General features: G+C 36.5%; 1 protein-coding gene across 7 annotated transcripts in view; it reads right to left on the bottom strand.

Moving 5' to 3' along the window:
- DACH2 (dachshund family transcription factor 2) overlaps window positions 1-10,481 on the bottom strand; it is a 684,152-nt gene extending 673,671 nt beyond the window's left edge. For all 7 annotated transcript variants that reach the window (XM_011530846.3, NM_053281.3, XM_017029254.2 and 4 more), the window contains exon 1: window positions 9,824-10,481. In XM_011530846.3, the coding sequence (XP_011529148.1) occupies window positions 9,824-10,311 (488 nt within the window). In that variant the 5' untranslated portion in view covers window positions 10,312-10,481. The remainder of the gene's footprint in view (window positions 1-9,823) is intronic.

The following is a 21,639-nucleotide window of genomic DNA, read 5'->3' as shown; positions in this document are numbered from 1 at the left end:
AGAACACTTTCTGCACTCATAAAACTAAAATACCTTGTTTTGTATCTTAATAACTATTTTTAGTTGGACTTTTCTGGTATAATTCCGAAGACTGAAAAAAGTCTAATGTTTACTGATATAATGCATGAGGCAGATATAGGAAAGGAAATTTAAGGATTATTCAATAATAGATGTGGCAAAATTTTGTAATCTCAAATATTTCATAATTTAGTAAATATACTAGGAGGGATAATACAGCTTATACACCCCAAGCTAATGATAGGATGATGGTAGTCTGTATGGTCCATGAAAGAACAGACCGTTTTGTTCATTTCGTTCACAGCACCTAGCACCTAGACCACTGCCTGGCACCACAAAGAATACCCTTAATAAGTACTGGATAGACACACACACACACACACACACACACGCACAGGCTATCATAACAAATCTAATCATGAGCGATCAAAATGGTTGTGAAGAAGTTTTTATTTAAATTCCAATAATTAAATAGATAGACATGAATTTTCCAAATGTCTACAGCTTAAAGACAATACAGCAAAAGACATACTCACTGGTTGCCACTGCACTCCTGCCTGGGTGACAGAGCCAGACCTTGTCCCAAACAAAAACAAAAACAAAACACACATACACAAAAAAAACCCATACTCACTGACGTCTAACTTATGTCCTCTGGGGAGGTCAACTTGCGGTTTGGTAATTAAACTTCCTTGGATTGAACCCAAAAGGGGAACCATATCATAATGCATCCCATCTTATCATCAGTAGTGTTATATAGAGCAAGTCTTCAGTGTCTGCGCATTTACTATCATTTTAGAATGATCAAGGCTTTGACTACATATATAATATTTTATGGATGATCTTTTTTATCATATTAAAGTTTTTATATAGTTTCTGTGAATTTAGTATGCTTTAATATGGCATTAAACTCAAGATTCTTAAAATAGGTGCTCTGTAATTGCACCTATATACCCTGCTACCAAAGGCCATTAAGAGATAGTATAGTCTTATATGATAATTACATATGTTTTCAAAATGTTTTTACTTCAGTATAGCAGGATATCTCATAATGTATACATAACATACATAATGCATTAACAATATGATAATAAAAATAAATTTTTCTAAATACTGTTCGTAAAAATAAATACATAATTAATATTGTTTGTGATGATAGTACTATACTTTTTAGACAAACATGAGAGATAGACTTCTCTCAAAATAACTGAAAGCTCAGAAACTAACATATTGCTGTAAGCTATAATGGTTATAACTGTTAATCCAATACACCTTTTATACAAACCCATAAACACATGAGTGGAAAAATAGCACAGATGTTCATCTCTAATGCAATTTCCATTCAATTTCCTAAGTGCGGTCCCTGTGTGCAAACTAGCTTAACGTTATGTTTAGCTTGCAAATTCTTTTAATAAATAATGAATGCAATAAAACTAGATCAATGGCAAGCTGAGAAATCATAAAAAAAAGGCTTTTGTGTTCAGGCTGTTGCCCATTTCAAACTTTAATCCGGCGACAGATCAATATTACTTTTTTCTTTTTAACCCATCACATAAATAGCAGATAGACTAAATGTAGCCCAAATGCTGTTACTAGCTAGTAGTTGCCAGCAACCTGATAAGATCATTGTACACAATTGCAATCGAATGCTATATACCTTTGTATACACACTACATTACACACCATTAAACAGTCAATTTGTTTAAAAATAAAAATATTATATAGCAATAAAAATACTGTGGCTTATTATTTTTTAACTTTCCTGTACCATATACTTTTTCCAGTAGTATAATTACAAAGTTTCCACCACAATTTGCTCTAATAAACAAAGTAATTGTGATGGGTCAAAATAGTACACAGATACGAGTAGTTTCAACTTCAGGGTTCCTAGATTAAAGGAAATTTTACTCTTCAAAATTAATTACACCTGAAAGAACTAAGTTATTCTTTTAAATGGGTGGTGAGGAGGATACTTCATGCAAATTTGAGTTTCATTGGATTGGGCCTTAAGATTATTCAGGAAAAAAATCAAATCATTCTTTTTAACATGTATTTGTATTCTATTCACAGACTAGAAAGAAGGGAGGAAAACCCTCCTTTTACCAACTCATTTTGAATACACATGCATTTACTGTTTGAAAACAGGATCACAAGTCAACTGCCACAAGGGTTAGTGTTCATATCAAGTAGTATAAATCTAAATCACCAATAATCATTTTATGGTCTTAGGCTCACTTTATTCATTAATTATTGCCTTTTCATAATATTTGAGCATCTCTACTGGGTTTTCACCTAAGGGAAATATCAAGAAGTCATACTTGCTTTGAAGATATACTTCATTTCAAATATTCTAAGTTCATATATTAGATTTTGATACCTTTACATGTGTATTTGTGAAAGGTTTATGGCATGATTACAAATTGTTTTATATTGGATTTAAAATTTCAGGATTAGTATATCTTCAATAACTGCATACTTTAACTATTTCTTACCTTTTGTTAAGGAACGTCATATACTGCAAAGAATTCTAATAAGAGGAATAAACGTGTGTATATGTGTATGCATAGTTGTATTCATTCAACAAATGTGAATTAAATGTCTAATATACACAGAACATTAGGCTTAATGAACCTTTTCAAAGAACGTTACTGGAGTTAAAAATGACTCCTCAGAAATTATTATTAAAAACCCAAGGTTTTGTTTTATGTAACAAATTCAGTTCTTTTTTAAGGATACCATGATAGGTATTGATAAAGATATCTTTTTCTTAAAACATATTCAATTTTGCATAAAACAATTTGTGTTACTTCTTAAATTCACAGTCTCAGTATAATATTTTCACCAATTTTAACATACAAATTTAGTGTTGAAGAAGGATGTGGTGAGATACCACCATAAAGGCATTTACACATTTTAAAGAAAAATTGAAAAAAAGTTAACTATTTTCCATAATTTATTGAAGTTCATTTTCAACTTTTCTTTAAACTCTACCATAGGTAATAGTATACATATCATAAACATCCAACATTAGCCTAACCACTGGAGATACAATTTTTCCTGAATTTGAGATCTAAATAGTATCATTTAACGGTGTTTACTGTTTTCCTATTCTAATAAAGGTAGGAATAAAATTATGATTAAGGAATACTGTGTAGGCTTTCAAAGAGGATCTACATCTAAAAACTGATTTTTAAAATATATATTCTTCAGAAAGCTGAATAAGAGAAAATTTGAACCTCCTTTTTAAAATTTGCATTTTCAAATATCAGACTAACTGAAAAGTTATATCACCTACAATATTAAATTCAAAATATTTCACATCAATTGACAGCATTGTTTCTCTCTCAGAATCAAGGAAACAAAGCCATGGGTTAAATGAAATGAAGTACGGTAGTTATGATATTTAATGCAGGTAAGTAATAAATTTCACTAGCGTTATATCAAAGTTCCTTTTGGTGACCATATGCGTTTCTGTAGTTTAAGAAATTAAACTATAAAAGCATTTATTGCTACTGGATAATTTATGACTTACAAATAATTAGCAAGAATATAAATATATTAAAATGAAATAAATTTTCCTGGGATTTTCAGCATTACCAAGTGAATAAATGATGAATACACAATGGACAGGCTGTCTCCTTTCTACTAAAAAAAATATTAAATCCTGAAGGGGTTCTAAATCCCTTCATAAGAGTATATTGCAGCTGCATTAAGCCAACAAAAAGCTTATTAGTAAGGATTTAAAAACTAACACCCTTCTGTAATCAATTTGGATACAGTATTATTCTATTTATAGTGACACTTTCAATGTGTCCCAATCATATATTACTAATTCTCATTTTTCCTCCTATGATTAAATATTAATGTAGAGGCACTATTAAGCAGCTACACTATATTTAGGCTTTAATATGTTGATCTCCACCATTTTGGAATAGTTCACAATATAGCATGAGTATTGAGACTCTTTCCCATGAAAAATCTTAAGATTGATTTGGTATTTTTCTCTGATTCTCAAATAAAATAAATTTAGTTGTTCTAGCAGAAAATGGAAAAAGGGATGCCGCCACTTTAAAAGCTTCAATCTCTTTGACATTGCTGGCAGTGTATGGGAACATTAATGCATCTGTCATGATAACAAGCTAAGAATAACATCTAGACATCAAACCGAGCAGAGAATCCATCTGAAGTGATTCATTCAGATCTGTCTCATTGATTTATTAAACACAGGGCAACATCTGCAGCCTCACAGAGCCGCTTGGTGAAATTAATGCAAGATCAATTCAAATGGAAAAAAGTGTAAAAGAGATAAATCAAAACACAATTTGCATGCAGTTCCACAATCAGGCTTATTGGGTACAAATGCTCAATTTCCCGTCCAAAGCAAATGTGTTTAAATGTTGTTTTATCTTTTTAGAATTGTGTGATCTGAAGTGACAGTGAAGAGTTTTGCAGGTTGAGATGGTGAAAGGGAAGAAAAGGAGGAAATAAATGCAACCAAAGGCTTTTTGAATATACAACAAGAATATCATTAATACCTAATTGTTTTGCTTTGAGGGAAAGGTTTGATGTCTTTTTCACAAAAACATAATATTTTCAGTTTTGGATCAATTAGGATGGTTTTAATACATATTTAAAATGTATAGAGTAGATAACCCCAAATCATTTGTATCTCTAAATGCATAAGATAAAGTGCCACTGGATAGCTAGATTCCCAACTGAAATATAACATGTTGTGATTAGGCTTTTCACAATTATATTTGTCTGCTAGAAGCATGTTAAAGACATCTATGAATTTCATTAAGACAAAATAAGGTTACCTAAGAAAGCATCAAATAATTCAGACTTGATATCTTCTATAGGAACTAGGTATTTCCTGTGTAAAACCATATAAAACATTAATGTCTGAAGACCATCATGTCCTAATTATTTATTGACATTCATGTGCTATACATTGAGGATAATATGATACATAAAAATCCAAAGATATACTGCATCATGTCATGGATCATTTCTTTAATGTAGTAACCATCACCTAATAAATGAGTGAGGCACATATGAATACCAGCTAAAGTAGTTAAATACAAAACTGTTGGTTATTCAGAAGCGTATATTTAAAATGAATGTAAACATGGAAAGTCTATGCATTGGCATATAATTATAATTGCTTTAATTATAATCCTGACATCATTCTTCTCATAAAGGACAGAGCATTGTTGACCATGTGGCTGCTTTTAACAGACAATATGACTATCTCTTCATTGTCCTATAGAATAAAATGTGCATTTACTACACAGATTCTTTTCTAAAATGTTTTTATCATTACTGAAAATGTAAGCCATACAAAATATTAACTCAGGAAAGTGATTCAAGTTCTGCAAAAATTTGACATTGCCTAACTGTAAATGTAAAACATAAATTTTCAAAGTAAATTATGCTACTCTGTATGGATCATGAACTATAAAGTACTCATCAAGTGTGACTACAAAGCCAAACTCATTGAGCGCTCATAATAACCATATTTCTAGTATTTGAAAATAGTTTTAAAATGTTGTAAAATGTGCTTTGATATTAAAAATCTCTTTAATATAAAACCATATTTATGTTCTGTTTATATACTATCAAAATAACAAGAAACCACAATTGGAAATTTTACTTTAAAAACTGAATTCTATTTGTTTGAATATATGTTGAATCATGTCTCCAAATGCATTACTAAAATATTTTCTTAATCATACTTTCTTGTTTCTTCAAGCACCCATTTAACTCTAAATGACCGAATAACATTAATCAGTTGGTCCTCAAACAAAATTAAATGCTGGTCATGAAATCTGACAATATTTTACTTTTATGTTGATAGGTAGGTAAAAAGAGAAACACTAAAATTTATTGATTGTTTAGTAATTTTCATATTTAGGAAAAACAATTTTTAATTTACTATTTTACTGCTTCATTAAACTTAGGAGAATTTAGTAAGAAAAATCTATTGCATAAGAGTGAAAATTGTCAACATTTACTTTCTAAACCTGCCTGTTCTCTCTGGTATTAAAAACTCTAAGTTTTCTTGCACAAAATATTAAACAGAAATCACAGTGCTTTATCTGCAAAAAACAAAATCCAAAACAGTATAGTAATTTTTCCCATTTAGTGTTGATTATTTTTATCATCATTTAAAAAATAATCCTCAAAATCATATCCTTATAATTAATTTTGGAAGTTAACAGTCATGAAGGAAAAATGTTGTACAGTTCTTTGAAATTACAGTGATGTAAACCTTGACTTGTCGAACAGAACAATGAATGGTCAAGAGTTTTAATCTTACTACCTCTCTAGCAGTTGAAGCAGATATTATTTCTTAACTTATTTTCCAGGAAGACAACTGAATATTTTTATAATTGGCTAACAACAAAATAGTTAATAAAAGGCACTGGTAGTTCTTGCTGTGACTTTCAGTACTATCAAAGAAACAATTATGTATATATTTTACTCATTCATTTTTCTTCAGTGCACATAATGGGCACTGAAGCAAATCAAAATGTCACTTAGTGGCAATACCTTAAGGTCTTTGAAAATGAACAATTTGAAAACAGTCCACTTTGTGTTTTCTGGGATAGCACAGAAAGCATTCCAAATGCTCTAAGTCAGGACTTGTACTCTTCCCCACATACTCAACAGAGAGGGGAAGAAATGTTTATTATACAGAAAGAGAAAATTGCCAATGACACCATTACAAATAGGCCTTCCATTCAACAACATATTATGAACATTTATCCATCAAGCGATGAAGATGAATCTCTTCTTTGAAATAAGAATAGTGTTTAAGAGTTTCTATTCGCTAAACATTTACTTTTTCCTTGCACTTCCCTCCCTGCTCTTAGCTAGAAGCACTAAGAAGTCATGAGTCCTGAAGGACAATCCTCTTTAGCCAGATCTCCATTGGTACATCACTCATCTTGGGGCATCTCTATAAGCTCTTCTGTTCCATCTTTCACTCTGTCTCAAGGCATCACTCTGCTCTTTTCCTGCATTTCTACTCTCTCACTGGCCTCGAGTCTCATCTACCTTACTTTGTCTCTCTTGGACCTCTTTCCTGTTTACATCCCTTACCTTTCTTTTCACTGAGTAGAAAAGTCACAGAAATAATGTTGATCTAAAAATTTTGCAATTTTCTTTAAAAATTCAGATTTTGGGAGTAACTTAAAGTATACATTTCTGTAAATAATCTTACCTAACATCATAAAGCATTTATTAAATGCATTATTATATTTTGTAATTTTAATAATGTGGTTAGGAGGGCACTTCGAATCAGCAAAATTTGTTGATATCATTTTATAATTAATTAGATTTTTCCCGGAAATTGTGGTTGTCTTCTATCTAAAATTGCAATTTAGGTGTGTTTCTAGTAGTTTTCCTCATCTTCACTGATGGATTGCATTCATAGAATATACTTCATAAATTTTTACAATTAATAAAATTGCAATACTTGTAACACAGTTTTAAAATATGAATATAATAAACCAAATACCCGTAAAGAAAAGAAAATGCAATAGAAGCCACATGAATCACATCACAGATCTATTTCTTCCTACATATTTAATATTTCTCTATCACCTTTATACACACACATACACAAAAGCAATTCACACACATGAAAAGTTACTATTGCTGTGATAAGCAGTAAATAAAAGCTAATTAGATAAAATAATAACCTAAAAATACATGGTATAACAGGGTCCAAAAATATTACAAGATCACCTGCCTCTGGATTTTTTTTTTTAGTAAGTAGCTCTAATAAAAATTAGGAAAAGTTTCCATTTATAGAGAAAAGTATCAAAATCATATTAAAATACTAATCTATTTATTTGAAAATCATGGTCATAGGTTTTTCTCAAGAATGTGCAAATTAATTGAGGAAGGAAGAATTTCCTAAGTGTAATAATTGTTCCACTTTAAGAATGGGCATTTTTAGAGATGGGAGAGGGGGAAGAGAGAAAGAACAGGGATGGAGAGATGAGAGACTGATAAAGAGAGAGAGTTAATAAGAGAATAGGTTTTCATGTCTGCAATTATTTAAATGTTTGAGTGTTTTTGGATGGCAACAAATGAATTAGATGGCCACTATCTGAAGTCCCTTGTAACCTTTTTAGTTTGTGTACTAATAAAATGCTTTGTAGTCGAAATAAAATTGTCTTTTTACTCTTACAATCCATAATTGCCTGTTTTATTGAGGGAGCTGTTATCCTTTGTGTTTTCAGGCCATCTATCTTCCTTAAGAAAAGCTGATATAATAAACCAGCTTTGTAAGCCCTAAATATGAATCAGGTAGGAGTTCTCACATAAATAGTTTTCTGTTTAATTGCTTGAACACAGAAAAACACTGCTCAATTGAAGAAAAAAAAGAAGAAGGAAAAAGCTTCCCTTGTAAGTTCTGCAGCATTATCTTATTGCAGCAGTAAGCAACAGTTTGCCTACAAGTTGTCAGTATCATTCAACTATACATGGCAATTTGGATTTTACAACAGATGTGGCAAACTGTTACAGTTTTAGTTCACAGACCCAGAGATTTTATGATTTAAAGTTCATTTTGAGAAAGTTGTTGGTTTTTTATTTTATTTTTGCAAAATAATAAGCAGTAGTGCTGTTTTACAACAAAATCCTTTGCTCCTTTTAACCACGTGATGGTGATTTTTGTGCCAAATCTGTGCTTTCCTGAGATGTTACCAAACTGGAGATGGAATAAACACTAGAAGACTAATTCACAGGCGTTTAAAAAGTCAGATAATCTTGAGTATACTTTTTTTCTTTTTAAACTCAGAAACATTGAACACAATTTGCTTCTCATATACAAATGGACATTTATTCACTAGTGTACTTCTAAACTGTGATATGAAGGAGGTACACTTACAACCAGGGAAGCTGGCCATCATCATTTAAGGAATCCTGTCTTTAAGGGAATGGGATCCTTCCAACTGTTCGCCTGGAAGAGCTGAGAGCATCCTCTCTAGAAATCTGCCAACTTGTACACCAACCTCCAATCCAGTCCCAGCCACAGTGGTTCATGCCCCACATTGCCCTCTGCAGATAACCCAAAACGGACGATCCCAGGAAAGTGATATTTGTCGTCGTCCTTTTGTAAAAATAGTATCCATCGACTTTCCTGTATCGTGTACTGGGGAGCTTTGCGCAGCAAGCATGAGCATACGTTCTCACGCGCACTTGCACACATACACACCAACACCACCACAAACAACAACACCACACACCCCACACATTCTCACAACAAACACACGGGATGGGGATCGAATCACCCTCTGGGATGGATTCTAGACTTCCCACCCCCTGCATGCCCCAAATGCTGTGTTCTGGCTTGCCAGCTTAGGAGCCCAGTTTACAGCTCAGCCAGCCCCCAGAGAAAGCCCTTGGTATCCGTGTTCAGAAGAAAACCTATCCGACCCGTGCGGCCACAAAAGAGCAGGAAAGAAAACCAAATAGAGAAATTAACAAATAACCACGAACAGCCAAAAGCCATGCAAGATATGGGCAAAAGGCTGGAAAGTTTCAATAGAGGACTGCAAACTCAAGTTTGCGGGACTTTTTTAGACCGAAGCCCTTGCACTGAGCGTGGACTAGAAGGCACCAGCATTAATGAAAGCTTCTAGTCCTCTTTCCCCACCGATTTACAGCGTGAAGAATAGAGGCAAACTAGTTAAGACTCACTCTACAAACAAAGTTGGATGAGGGTGGTGAGGCATGCAGAAGAGGCCAAAGGGGTAAGAGAAGTGGGAGAGCCAAGAAACGAGTGTCTCACCTGGCATTGGTGCAATCGGTGAACAAAGTTTCGAAGTCTTTCCTGGTGATGAGTTTGCAGCGGTTTACCCCGGGCTGGATGGCCCCCAGCCCGCGGAGGATCCGGACCTGCTCAACAGTACACACCACGGGGGATATATCCAGTCTCTTCAGCTTGGTGTACACAGTGTGCAAGCCTCCCACCAGGTGCTTGAGAAAAAGATCAAAGACTTGCGGCAGGCAGATCAGTTCCTGGCCGTCCATCAGGAACGAAGCCACCTTCATCCCGTGCATGTCGACCATGCGGCACTCGTTGGTGTTGGTGTTGCCCCTGCCGCCGCCTCCGGCACTGTTGCTGTGGTTATTAACCACGAAACTATTGATCATATTAGGAGTAAGACGAGGGGGCTCTCTGGGAGTCGAGTACAGGGGTTCGGCCCGGAATAAGCCCCCCGGGACGCCGGCGCCGCTGGAAGTTGCAGAGATCACTGGAGATGCGGAGACAGCCATGGTCACTCTGTCTCTATCGTGGGTCCTCCGGCCCTCGCTTTCTCGCCCTGACTCCTCTAGATCCCCTCGCACTCACTCCCTCACTCTCGCTCTCTCTGGCGCGCTCTCGCTGGCTCCGAACTGTTCGCAAGTCTTCAGCAGCCGGCTCACGCTCAAGCTCAACAAACAGTGAGCAGCCCCGACCCGCTGCGGCCCCAGACCCCACCCCCACCACACCCCCTCCGGAGACTGGCAGCGTCCCACAGCCAATGGGCCCCAGCCCTTCTGCGCCCGAGCGCTCCGAATGGCTGCCGCTGGTGAGGAGGTGGAGACTCCCTGGCCGGCGTCCGACTACCTGAGTGGGTCCAGGCTCGACCAAGAACAGAGATCCAGTCCGAGAAGGGGGCGGTGTGGTGCCTCTGCTTCTTGCCTCTCTGCCAGACGAGAGAACTCCCAGATGTCACGCAGAGTTCTCAAAGTGGCCTATGCTGTGAACCCATCCGCTCCGCGCTCCGCTGGTGTCGGGGTGGAAACGCAAAGCGCGACTCCTGAACGTGCCTCCCCATGCCCCTTCCGCCACCTTACACCGGGTTAGATCGTGGAAAGTGAGGTGGCAGCTCCAATTCCACTTGCGCATCTCTCCCAAACTCTGCGGGGGCTAATAGATGGCTTCGCCTAGCTTCCGGGAGAAAGACGCTAGCGAGTTCAGAAGTAAACAGCTCAGCCCTTTAGCCCACCTAAGTGCGCTTGGTGTAAATTTTCCCCTACCCAGCGCGCAGAGGAACAAGCGTCCGAGATCATACTCAGATCAGAGTTCTGGTTGCTAACTCGCACTGACATTCAGGAAGCGTAGTGAGCCTGTGAACACTTTGGGAAACAGAGAGACTTGCTCTGTGGGTGGCAGATGGACACCTCATTTTATGGCACTTCCGCCACTGTCCTGGAAGAGACTTGTCTGTGTCCCCGTCCCTTAGTGTCGAGATTGCCCTGGCCCTACTCCCCGCTAAAATTGATAGGAAATGTTTGTTTAGGACTCAAAACAGTCATCACGGAATATGAGGAAAGGGCGAGGGTTTGCATTCTTGAACGTGCATTTTCCTTCCTCTTCCATTGGCTTTGAAGGTCCAGTGATTGGAGCTCCAGTCCTAAACAAGATTCCACTTCCCCCACTCATCAAGCGTCCCAAACGTACTAAGAGCTTATAGAACAAAATGTCTAAGCAGGGTACATTCCAGGGAAAAGGAATGGTCTTTTCCACACAGCATATGGTGGTTAGATCGCCTTAGCAAAGTTGTTTTTGTTTGTTTTGAGACAGATTCTCACTCTGTCGCCCAGACTAGAGTGCAGTGGCACAGTCTCGGCTCACTGCAGCCTCCGCCTCCGGGGATCAAGCGATTCTCCTGCCTCGGCCGAGTAACTGGGACAACAGGTGCGCGCCACCATGCCTGGCTAATTTATGTATACATATACATATATATATACACACATATACATATATATACATATATATACACACATATACATACTTTTTTTTTTTTTTGTAGAGACAGGGTTTCACCATATTGGCCAGGCTGGTCTCGAACTCCTGACCTCGTGATCCGCCCTCCTCGGCCTCCCAAAGTTCTGGGATTACAGGCGTGAGCCACCGCTCCTGGCCTAGCAAAGTTGTTTTAAGACTCCTTGTCAAGCTATTCATTCTCTAAAACCAAGATATTTCCTTTCCTGTGCTCCTCTTCTCTGGAGGCTGTTAGTTATTCATAAAGTGAAATCCAGGTTTCGTTTCTTTACAAAACGTTACCAACTACATGGCTTATGGTAACTTCTCTGATATTCTTCTAAAATATAAATAATGTTGGAAACTTACTGAATTTTATTCAGCCCTAGTTGTACTTAGCAGGATCAACGAGAAATGTGTGGGTTCTTTTTGCTCCCTTATTTAGTTACAGATACCCTAAATTGGATTTTTCTGCCTCTTTCTACAACATATTTTCTTCTTTTCTCATTTCATCAACCAGGTTTAAGAACTGCCCTTTGAATCTCTTCATACTGTTTCAATTTCAAATTGTACAGGGTTAAAATGCTAAGAAGTTGTGATGATCATTGCTTTCAAAATGCAGTGATATGACTCTAACATAATAGATTGGGATATAGGCAGCCACGAGACATTTTTAAAAGGCATCAAAATGTTTTTGCTACATCGATACTGTTGTGGGAAGAAAGTAATAAGGGGCAAAAAAAGGACAATTGAGAAGAAATAGCAAAGGCAGAAAACGCCTCAACCAAAAGTAGAAGTATCAAAAAAGAATAAAACAGCACTGACAGAAATGTTTGTATTTACCAGTTTTTAAAAAGAGAAATCCCAAATTGTATTCAACAGGTGTTTTGACTGAAATGGCTGTTAAACTATCTGTTGAAATAGCTTGCCTCTGATAACTTATTGTGATTGAAATTTCCAGGTGAATAAGTTTGGCTGTAAAGGATGTTTTATTTTCAAATGGCTCTAATTACGTTAAAAATCCTAAGGCCAAGCTACCCCTTGTATGTAGCTGTGCCCACATTATCAAGGCCTTTTTATTTGCAGAGCAATTTGGGGTTTTCAGCAATAAAACATTGCACAGATATTTTGATGTTTCAAATTTAAGAAATCTGAAATATAAAAAAAGAAAGGCAGATTATTCATTCATGCTGTAATCAGTAATTGTGAAATTGAAGAACAGACATACTTTGACAACTTTAGAAAAGGCACAAATTAAAAGTCATGTGTTTAATGAGATGTATCAGGTTTACAGTAATATTTTAATTATTACTAAAGATTACGGTTCTATTTCTAGCAGAAATACTAGAGACTCAAATTGGCCATTGATCATTGAAAGGTTAAAGTTCTTTGGAAGTTTTCAACACGCAAAAGACCCTCGGTTTCATTATTTGAATTCCTTCTCATTGCAGTCTTCTAGATAAACTTGGTAGCGTTCTTAAGTAACACATGCAATTTAAACATTTAGTCGTTTAGATCTAAGAGAGCAGGTTTTGTCTCCTTTTTTCTTGACTTTTTGATTATTCTATTTTTTATCACTACTATTTCTACTATTACTATCAGTGCTTTGAGATTGAGACAATCAATTTTACACAGAGGGTTTGTTTTTGTCCCTTTCTGATTTTAATGTCTTCCATAAGCCAAACATACTTCTAAACAGGGCTAGGTTTCTACAAGACCAGAGGAAGCCTTTCACATCAACACCCTGTAAGTTTGGAATTGCTTGATGCAATATAAAATCATAAAAAGGTGGCAGTAAACAGAGTACCCTTGGGAGATGACTCTCTATGGAGAGAGGCACTGCATTAAAACTAAGAAAATACTCAAGGTTTGTGAATTAATACAAGACAGGAGCCAACCACCGCAACAAATAACGACAAAATTAGTATAAGCAGGTACCATATCTCATCAGAAGAAGTTCTAATTCCAGTGGAATGATTTGGGGCCTAAGTGTAGTTTCCCATACACTGAAATGCTGTAAACTTCCATGACTTAATTAACAATTTACATTTTATCTTAATTCATACTCAGTTTGGAGGGGAGGGTGCTCATCTGTGATTTTAGGCAAAATATTCTACTTTGACACTGTCAGTAAAATGCAGGTACCATTTTAACTAAAAATTAAAAATACATATATTGGCATGCTTATGCAGCACTGCAAAATATCCAGAACTATTTGAAGGGACTGGTTTTCAGATCAGGCATTCAAGTAAATCCCAAGGTAATAAATGGAATTATTTGAAACCCTCAGCCAACTGAAGTTACAACCTTGAATGTGGCGGCTAATCACAACCTCCCAGGAGACCTCTAAGGTTCACTTTTAGGTAAACAATAAAAGGAAATTGGGCAAGACAATAAATGTAAAATGAAAGCCTTCATATAACTGAGAATTTAAGTGATGAAAGCCTATAGCTATGTATGCATGTATACCCCATTAGGAAACTGGTTATACGATTATCTATAACATCATTTTTTTCATTCAGTTACAATGTTAAATTGAAGATGAATTCCAAGGGAGGCAAAGGTGGAGAAAGGGGACCAGTAGAGCATCAAGAGAATTGGTCAAAACCCAAAGAGTAACAGTTAAAATCCGATACTTAAAGGAAAGATGAACATTTTCTAACTGAAATATAAAAAATAAGCTTTCAAATTACCTTATAAAGTATAAGCGCTTACCAACTTTTAAGATATGCTATTTCATACTGCACTCTCCTAAAGGAGAAGGAAACATGTCGTCTTAAATTCCACCTATGTCTCTCACTGTACTGTTCCCTTTTAAATCTTGGGCTTTTAACTGTTCAAATTCAAGCTATTTTAACCTCAGCTGGTCTCCCACTGCTACTTAATGTCCTTTTATTCATTTCGTTGACTCCCTATTGAATTCCCTGTAGCAGCTACTCCAAACCTTTCCTATTCTTTGCAAGTCACCCTTCCCCTCACTCTCATTAGCTACTGCCTCCAACTTCTCTATGATTTTACCACAAAGTTATTTGACAGGCGTTCCCTCCGCCTCCCTTCTCCCCTCCTAAAAGGATTTTTGCATCTTCTCTCTTAAAAAATAAAAAGCCTCCTCCACCGCTTCCATTGATGTTCTTCATTCCTTTCTTTCACGTCGTTCAAGTGACAAATCTGTTTTATTCCCACCTCTCTATTTTGCATCTCCAGTCTCTCCCTCTCTACTTGTTCTTTTCACCTTTTACTATATAAAATGTTCAAGGCTATGAATCCTTAAGACAAATCAAAACTTTCTACTCTAAAAAGAGTTCTCAGAGTGTGGTCCCTAGATCACCGGCATCAGCATTACCTGGATGCTTGATAGACATGCAAACAGTTTGGCCCTACCCAAGACCTGCTGAATTAGAACCTCGGGGTGAGGCTCAGCAACCTGCATTTAACAAAGCCCCTAAGTGATTCCATTGTAGGTGGAAATTTGAGATCCACTTGCCCTGAAGTTACCATCTTTGCACAAACTTTTTGAAAATCTACAATTGTTTCTCTTGTGTCTTCACCTTTAGCAATTTTATTTCTGCTTGCTTGCCACTTGGCTGAAACTAATCTACCAGAGATGATTACTGACCTCCTAAATGCCGAATACAAAGTTGTTTTCTAAATCTTCATCCTTTGATATTCTGAAGCTTTTCACACTGCTGACATCCTTTTTGAACCCCTAACTTTTGTTTTAATGACTTTCTAACAATCTGTTTCTCCTCTTTCATACACAGCTTTTCTTTTTCATGCCCTTGATCTTGACCCTGAAATGTCAAAAACCCTAGTGTCTACACTCTTACTTGTGGCAATTTCATGAACTTTCCAGTCTATAGCACCACCAACAACTCTTTTACAGATTACCTCAAATATTATTTCTAGCTCTCTTGAAACTCTCCTGTAGAATTGGACGTCTCCACTTTGATGTCCTATGATCACCTCAAACTCAACATGCCCAGAACTGAATTTGAATTCAGTTTTGAATTAATCCTTATCTTATCCTCTTCAAATCTGGTCTTTATTTTCCATTTCTGATATTTCTAAATGCTTTTTCCATGCAGTAAGTCACCTGAAATGGGAACTGGAGAGACCTCTTTGATTTCTCTCTATCCATTTTACTCCCATTCAATTAATCACTAAGTTTTGCGATTTCTCTCTCAGCAATATCACTCCCTTCCATTCCTTTCCATTCCCAATGCCACCACCTTGGGTTTGTTCATTATGTGTTCTTTGGATACCATTACAATAATTGCCTCTTAATCTCCCCACTTTCTGGCATTTCCTCTTCCAGTCTATATACCAGTCTATATAGATTATTTTTTCTAATGTTTCACTCTATTTATTAGAAATACTCATTACTACCCCACTGGCTACCAGATAAATTCCAAACTCCTTAGACTGACCTTTAATTCTTCTTTGATTTGTTTTTGTTTGTTTGTTTGTTTTTTTTTTTGACAGAGTCTCACTCTGTTGCTCAGGCTGGAGTAAAGTGGCATGATCTCGGCTCACCACAACCTCCACCTCCCAGGTTCCAGCGATTCTCCTGCCCCAGCCTCCCAAGTAGCTGGGACTACAGGCGTGCACCACCATGCCCGGCTAATTTTTGTATTTTTAGTAGAGACGGGGTTTCACTATGTTGGCCAGGCTGGTCTCGAACTCCTGACCTCGTGATCCACCCACCTTGGCCTCCCAAAGTGCTGGGATTACAGGCGTGAGCCACTGCGCCTGGCCAGTGATTTACCTTTTTATCCTTTCCTCCAGTACTCTTTGACATGTTGCCTGTGCACCAATAAATGAGTATTACTTTCTACTATTCTTAAACTTCTTATACCTTCCCATCTGAGTGCTAATGCTCATGTCATTCTTTTACCATAGGATATGTTGGTGCACACCTCCTCATCTCCACCCACCCAAATCCTAACCACACTTTAAAAAGGAAGTCTAATTCAGCTCCAGGAAGACCTCCCTCATTTCCTTTTTTCAGCAAGAAATGGGCTTTCACTCTTCTGTCTCTTACTGCACATCATGCCTCTCTTAAGGTAGTTAAAACATGCTTCCTTGTAGTGCAAGTTGTTTGCAACTTAGTCGTAGGCTCTCTCCTAGAATAAGGTTTAGTCAGGTAAGAGATTATGCATATCTCAGTCAATATGATACTTCAAGTGCCAACCACTGTTACTGACTCACAGTATGTGCCCATACATGTTTATCTAATGAATAAATATGTGATTATGATCTATAACCTGTTGTTCAACATAAATGTTTGTTATCATTAATTCTGAGGCAGGTCCTAAGAGGTTGGTGTGCATAAAATATTTATTTTTTGTTAAAACAATGATGATTTTTGTTTTTTGGTAGTTTCTGGATCTTTTTAGTGATGACTGGCTTCTCAGATTAATAATTATTTTAATTTTTATTTAAGCATTCATTTCCTTACAAAACTTAAGTGTGATATATTTATATTATATTATGTTTGCTTCCCATGAACCCTAAGGAATTTACTTGTTACCAATCTGCAATGAATATATTACAAAATTATAATGAAACATATTTACATCTCTGTTTGAAATCTCATTAATTTTTTTTATTCTACATGTTTTGTTTTAGGTAAGGGTATCTCAATAGAGGAAGTATGTCATTGAGATAATTATTTCAAATCATTGCTGGGAGCTGATAAAACTGCACACAGCTAATGTGTAAATTTACTATTGTTTGCAGAATAACCAGCTCTGACTCGAGGAAACAGGGAGGAATTATAACCCTTCTGATTATGGATAGGAGAAAAATAGGTACTTTTCTCTGATAGGGAAAATACACTGTCAGTGCGATCAGAACACTAGGCAATTTTTGCTTTTTGTTATTGTTATTGTTTTTCCCCTACAAAAGTTGGGTAAAGAAAGCAAGAAAGATAATAATTGTGTAGTTGAAAATATAGGTAAGGCCTTCTCTGAGTTTTGCTGAAATAATCCAGATAGAACGACTGAACCATTTGGCTGAATTCATATAGATAAGCAACACTTCATCACCAAGCCAACAAAAAGTTGACAATAAACTTCCAGTAATATGTGTATAGGCCACCTGAGGGTTGAGTTGTGTAAAATGTTCAATATTTATAATAAAGTTACTGTAATAGTATTTATATAACTGACATCTGTTGAATGCTTACTTGGTGCAGGCATTATGCTGAAGACTTTCTAAACACCTTCTTATTTAATTTTCATGATAGTTCTGTGAAGTAGATTCCATTATTATCCCCATTTCTGAGATGAAGAAATTAAGGCTTAAAATAATTAATATGTCCAAGGTCATACAGATATAAAATAGATGAGCTGGAAATACATTCAAATATGAATTTAGAAGCCAAATCTTAACTACTACACTATACATATACTTTCTTTAAAAAAAAAAAAAAAAACTGCTCTACACTAAATTTCTAAAGTTTGGTGGTTTTTTTTTTTGAGACAGAGTCTCGCTCTGTCGCCCAGGCTGGAGTGCAGTGGCACAATCTCTGCTCACTGCAAGCTCTGCCTCCCAGGTTCACCCCATTCTCCTGCCTCAGACTCCTGAGTAGGTAGGATTACAGGCACCTGCCACCACACCCGGCTAATGTTTTGTATTTTTAGTAGAGACAGGGTTTCACCATGTTAATCAGGATGGTCTCGATCTCCTGGCCTCGTGATCCACCCACCTCGGCCTCCCAAAGTGCTGGGATTACAGGCATGAGCCATCGCTCCCAGCCTAAAGTATTTTTTTAAAATTTGATGTTTTAAATGTAAAGTTGTATCTTTAATAAAGAAGACAGGAAAATTAATAAATTGGGGAAGGTTTGTATCATTAGGAAAAAAAAACTCTGTTTGTCTGAATCTTAGACAAAACAATTATCTTGGCTTTAGAGCCATATGATTGACTCAGTCTCCATATGGTGGCACAAATCATAAATTGCAGGTTTAAGGTTTTTGGAAATGTTAATAAAACAACTTTCAATGTTTACATTTATAATATCGAAGTTCTGAGTTGAGAGAAAATGACACGAAAACATATCTGTACATTCCAAACTATTGAGAAACTTGTGACATGTCCAAAACTTGCCTTACATTCAACTAATGAAGAGGAGTGCTTGACGAAAATGAAAATAAACTGAAGACATACCATTGCAGTATGAGCAGTACTTGTACTTTTTGTTTCTTTACAGTTCAATGCTTTATTCATTGATTGCTGCCCAATTAGGACTCACACACTACAGTAAACTCTTCACAACCACAAGATCCCTTTGGGCCAACGTTTAGTTATTCCTCTCTGAGAAAGCAGTCTAGCAGAGTGGTTAAGGAAGTGGAAACTGGCCAGACTGCCTGTGTCCAAAGTCTGTCTCCCCAGTTTATCACCTGGGTGATCTTGGGCAAAATATTTAACCTCTTCATGCCTCAGTTTTCTGATCTATAAAATTGGAATAAATAATAATAGTATCTTCCTCATAGGGTTCTGTGAGATTGCAAGAGTAAATGTATACAGCCGAACATATGTAAATTGCTTAAAATAGTACCTGTTGCAGGATAAGGGCTATTCCTGTTAACTAGTATCACTTAGCTTTTAATGGGTTTTTCAAATTTTAGTTTCAGTATATACAAATTGTAACTCTGTCAACTGGAAATAATTATAAAAGGAAGGAGGATGCTGACAAGTAGTAGTAGAAAAGGGAAGAGGGTAGGAGGGAAAAGCCAGCGTATACATTTCTGCAATGCAGGCTTGGGGAGATACAAGAAGTAGAGGGAAAGTAGCCCAGGCCTTAGAATCATATTCAGATGTCTGGGAGTAGAGAGAGAACCAAGATGCTGGCAAGAATATCTGACAAATATGTTTCATAACAGCTAAATAGGATCACTTTAAAAAAATTAGTGCAAACATTGTTTCATCTTTAACTTCCAGGGATCTATGCCTCTCTGGGATCTTTGGCTTGAGAGAACAACTCTGTGTCATAACACATGAAAGATCTTGAGTATTTGAATGGTGGACTAGACACAGAGGAGCACTGCTACCACCTACTAATGTGCATACCACCAGCATTAAAGTGAAACAAGGTGATAAGCCTGTCCTTGAAAAGGAGAGGGGAGAAAGAAGGAAATCCTGAGCAGTTTCTCATGACAAAGTATGACAAATAAACACTGATTGTACAGTTCTCCGTGTTGGTCATTTAAAATGTTGGGGAAAAGCCATGGTAAGTCTGTTAATGTGCCAGAGTCATTGTCTCAGTTTAGTGCATTGAAAAAAAAAGATAACGGCTTCGTAGGTACACTCATGGGCTCATTCCTTCCAAATCTGGATCCCTAAAACTGTAAGTTTCTCGCAAATGACTTCTCCTATTAGAAATTTTGAGGAACTTTACCTTCATGATTGAAGAAGGACTTAACTTCACTCCTTACCTACTTCTTTATCACATATCGACGATTTCCAGTGATATCAGAAGACATGATAGTATCACTGCATACATATTCAGGATAAAATAAACATGTTGCTTGGCTTTTAATTTATGGTAAAGAATTTTTTAAAATATCTTCTCCAGGAACACATTATATCAAAAAGGAGGCCTACGTAGATCCATCACCTGAGCACTTGCTTGTTGACTAGGTCTCATCTTGTTCATCTACCCTTCAACTACTTGGTTTTAATTCATCCTATGCATGAAAATAAACAGGTAGCCTTAGTTTGTGCTGTACTACTCCACACTGTCTGTATTCCAGCATAGTGCTGATTTTATAGACATAACAGAATGATCAATTTTGTCTCTGAAATTCCACCCACACATTAGTTTTCCCCGGTTCCTATCCACTATTTGTTCTCACAAACAAATTTAACCCAACAGCCCCCTGGAGACCCCTAGCGAAATAGGCAATAGAGATAGGAGAATTATTTGTCAGAGAGAGCTTTTGCCTAAAATTCTGCTTCTCCTCTACCCAGTTCCAAGATTCCAGTCATCTCCATCAAGTGTATAAATCTATTTGAAGACGCAAAAAAGCAATACATATGCCTGGTCCATAAAAGAATTCAATATTCAATAAATTTCAAAGTTAAATGTAGCACATGGAATATTGTTTAATGTCTTAACTTGCCCAGGTGCTGAAGAAGTAGAACAGATAATATTGAGAGTGGATTAGAAAGCCAAGGAGAGCCTGGTATATATAAATTACATAAACTGTAGTATATTCTTCACTAGAATTTTCTGTAAATTATATACAGCACATGTTTCTGGGTATAGTAATTTATAATAGATTGTAAGCGAAGTAGGACAATTAACAGGAAATAGGACTCCAGAAAGAAGGTGGTTTAAATAATGGAAAGCTGATCTTTGCACCTTTACAATTAGGTGAATTTTATACTCCCAAAAACAAGTAGAGAAAAAGATAAGAAAGTGAGCCCCCTCCTTTTGCCAACTAGAATGCTAATTTCTTCTTTGCCTACACTTAGACCATTCATTTTCTCTTTCTAAAAGTGATTATGAAGATAACTTCCTCTCAGAACCGAAAAGAAAACCATGGGTTATGGTATGGAGTTTGGATGATGTTATTGAAAGCAATTTGACTGTAGCTTTGGCTTTCCTAATATTATTGAAATCAAATCCAGTTTAGTGGAAGCCTTCAAGGTAGGAGAAATAGTGTCTTACATTTTAAGAAATACGTCCCTTGTCACCTCCACTGACCTACACTGAATAGAATGATTTGTGTTTAAAAATTGATTCATCTATACAATACTGAGTTGAGCCAGATACCAAGCCAGGGCACTACGTGGGGCCTATGGGAAGGCAGAAAGAATGATTATCTAAAGTAGTGATGCTACCTTAA

This window comes from Homo sapiens, chromosome X, assembly GCF_000001405.40.
Source record: "Homo sapiens chromosome X, GRCh38.p14 Primary Assembly".
Classification (NCBI taxonomy): Eukaryota; Metazoa; Chordata; class Mammalia; order Primates; family Hominidae; genus Homo; species Homo sapiens.
Note: the sequence above shows the minus strand (reverse complement) of the source record. Positions and strands in the feature narration are given on the sequence as shown.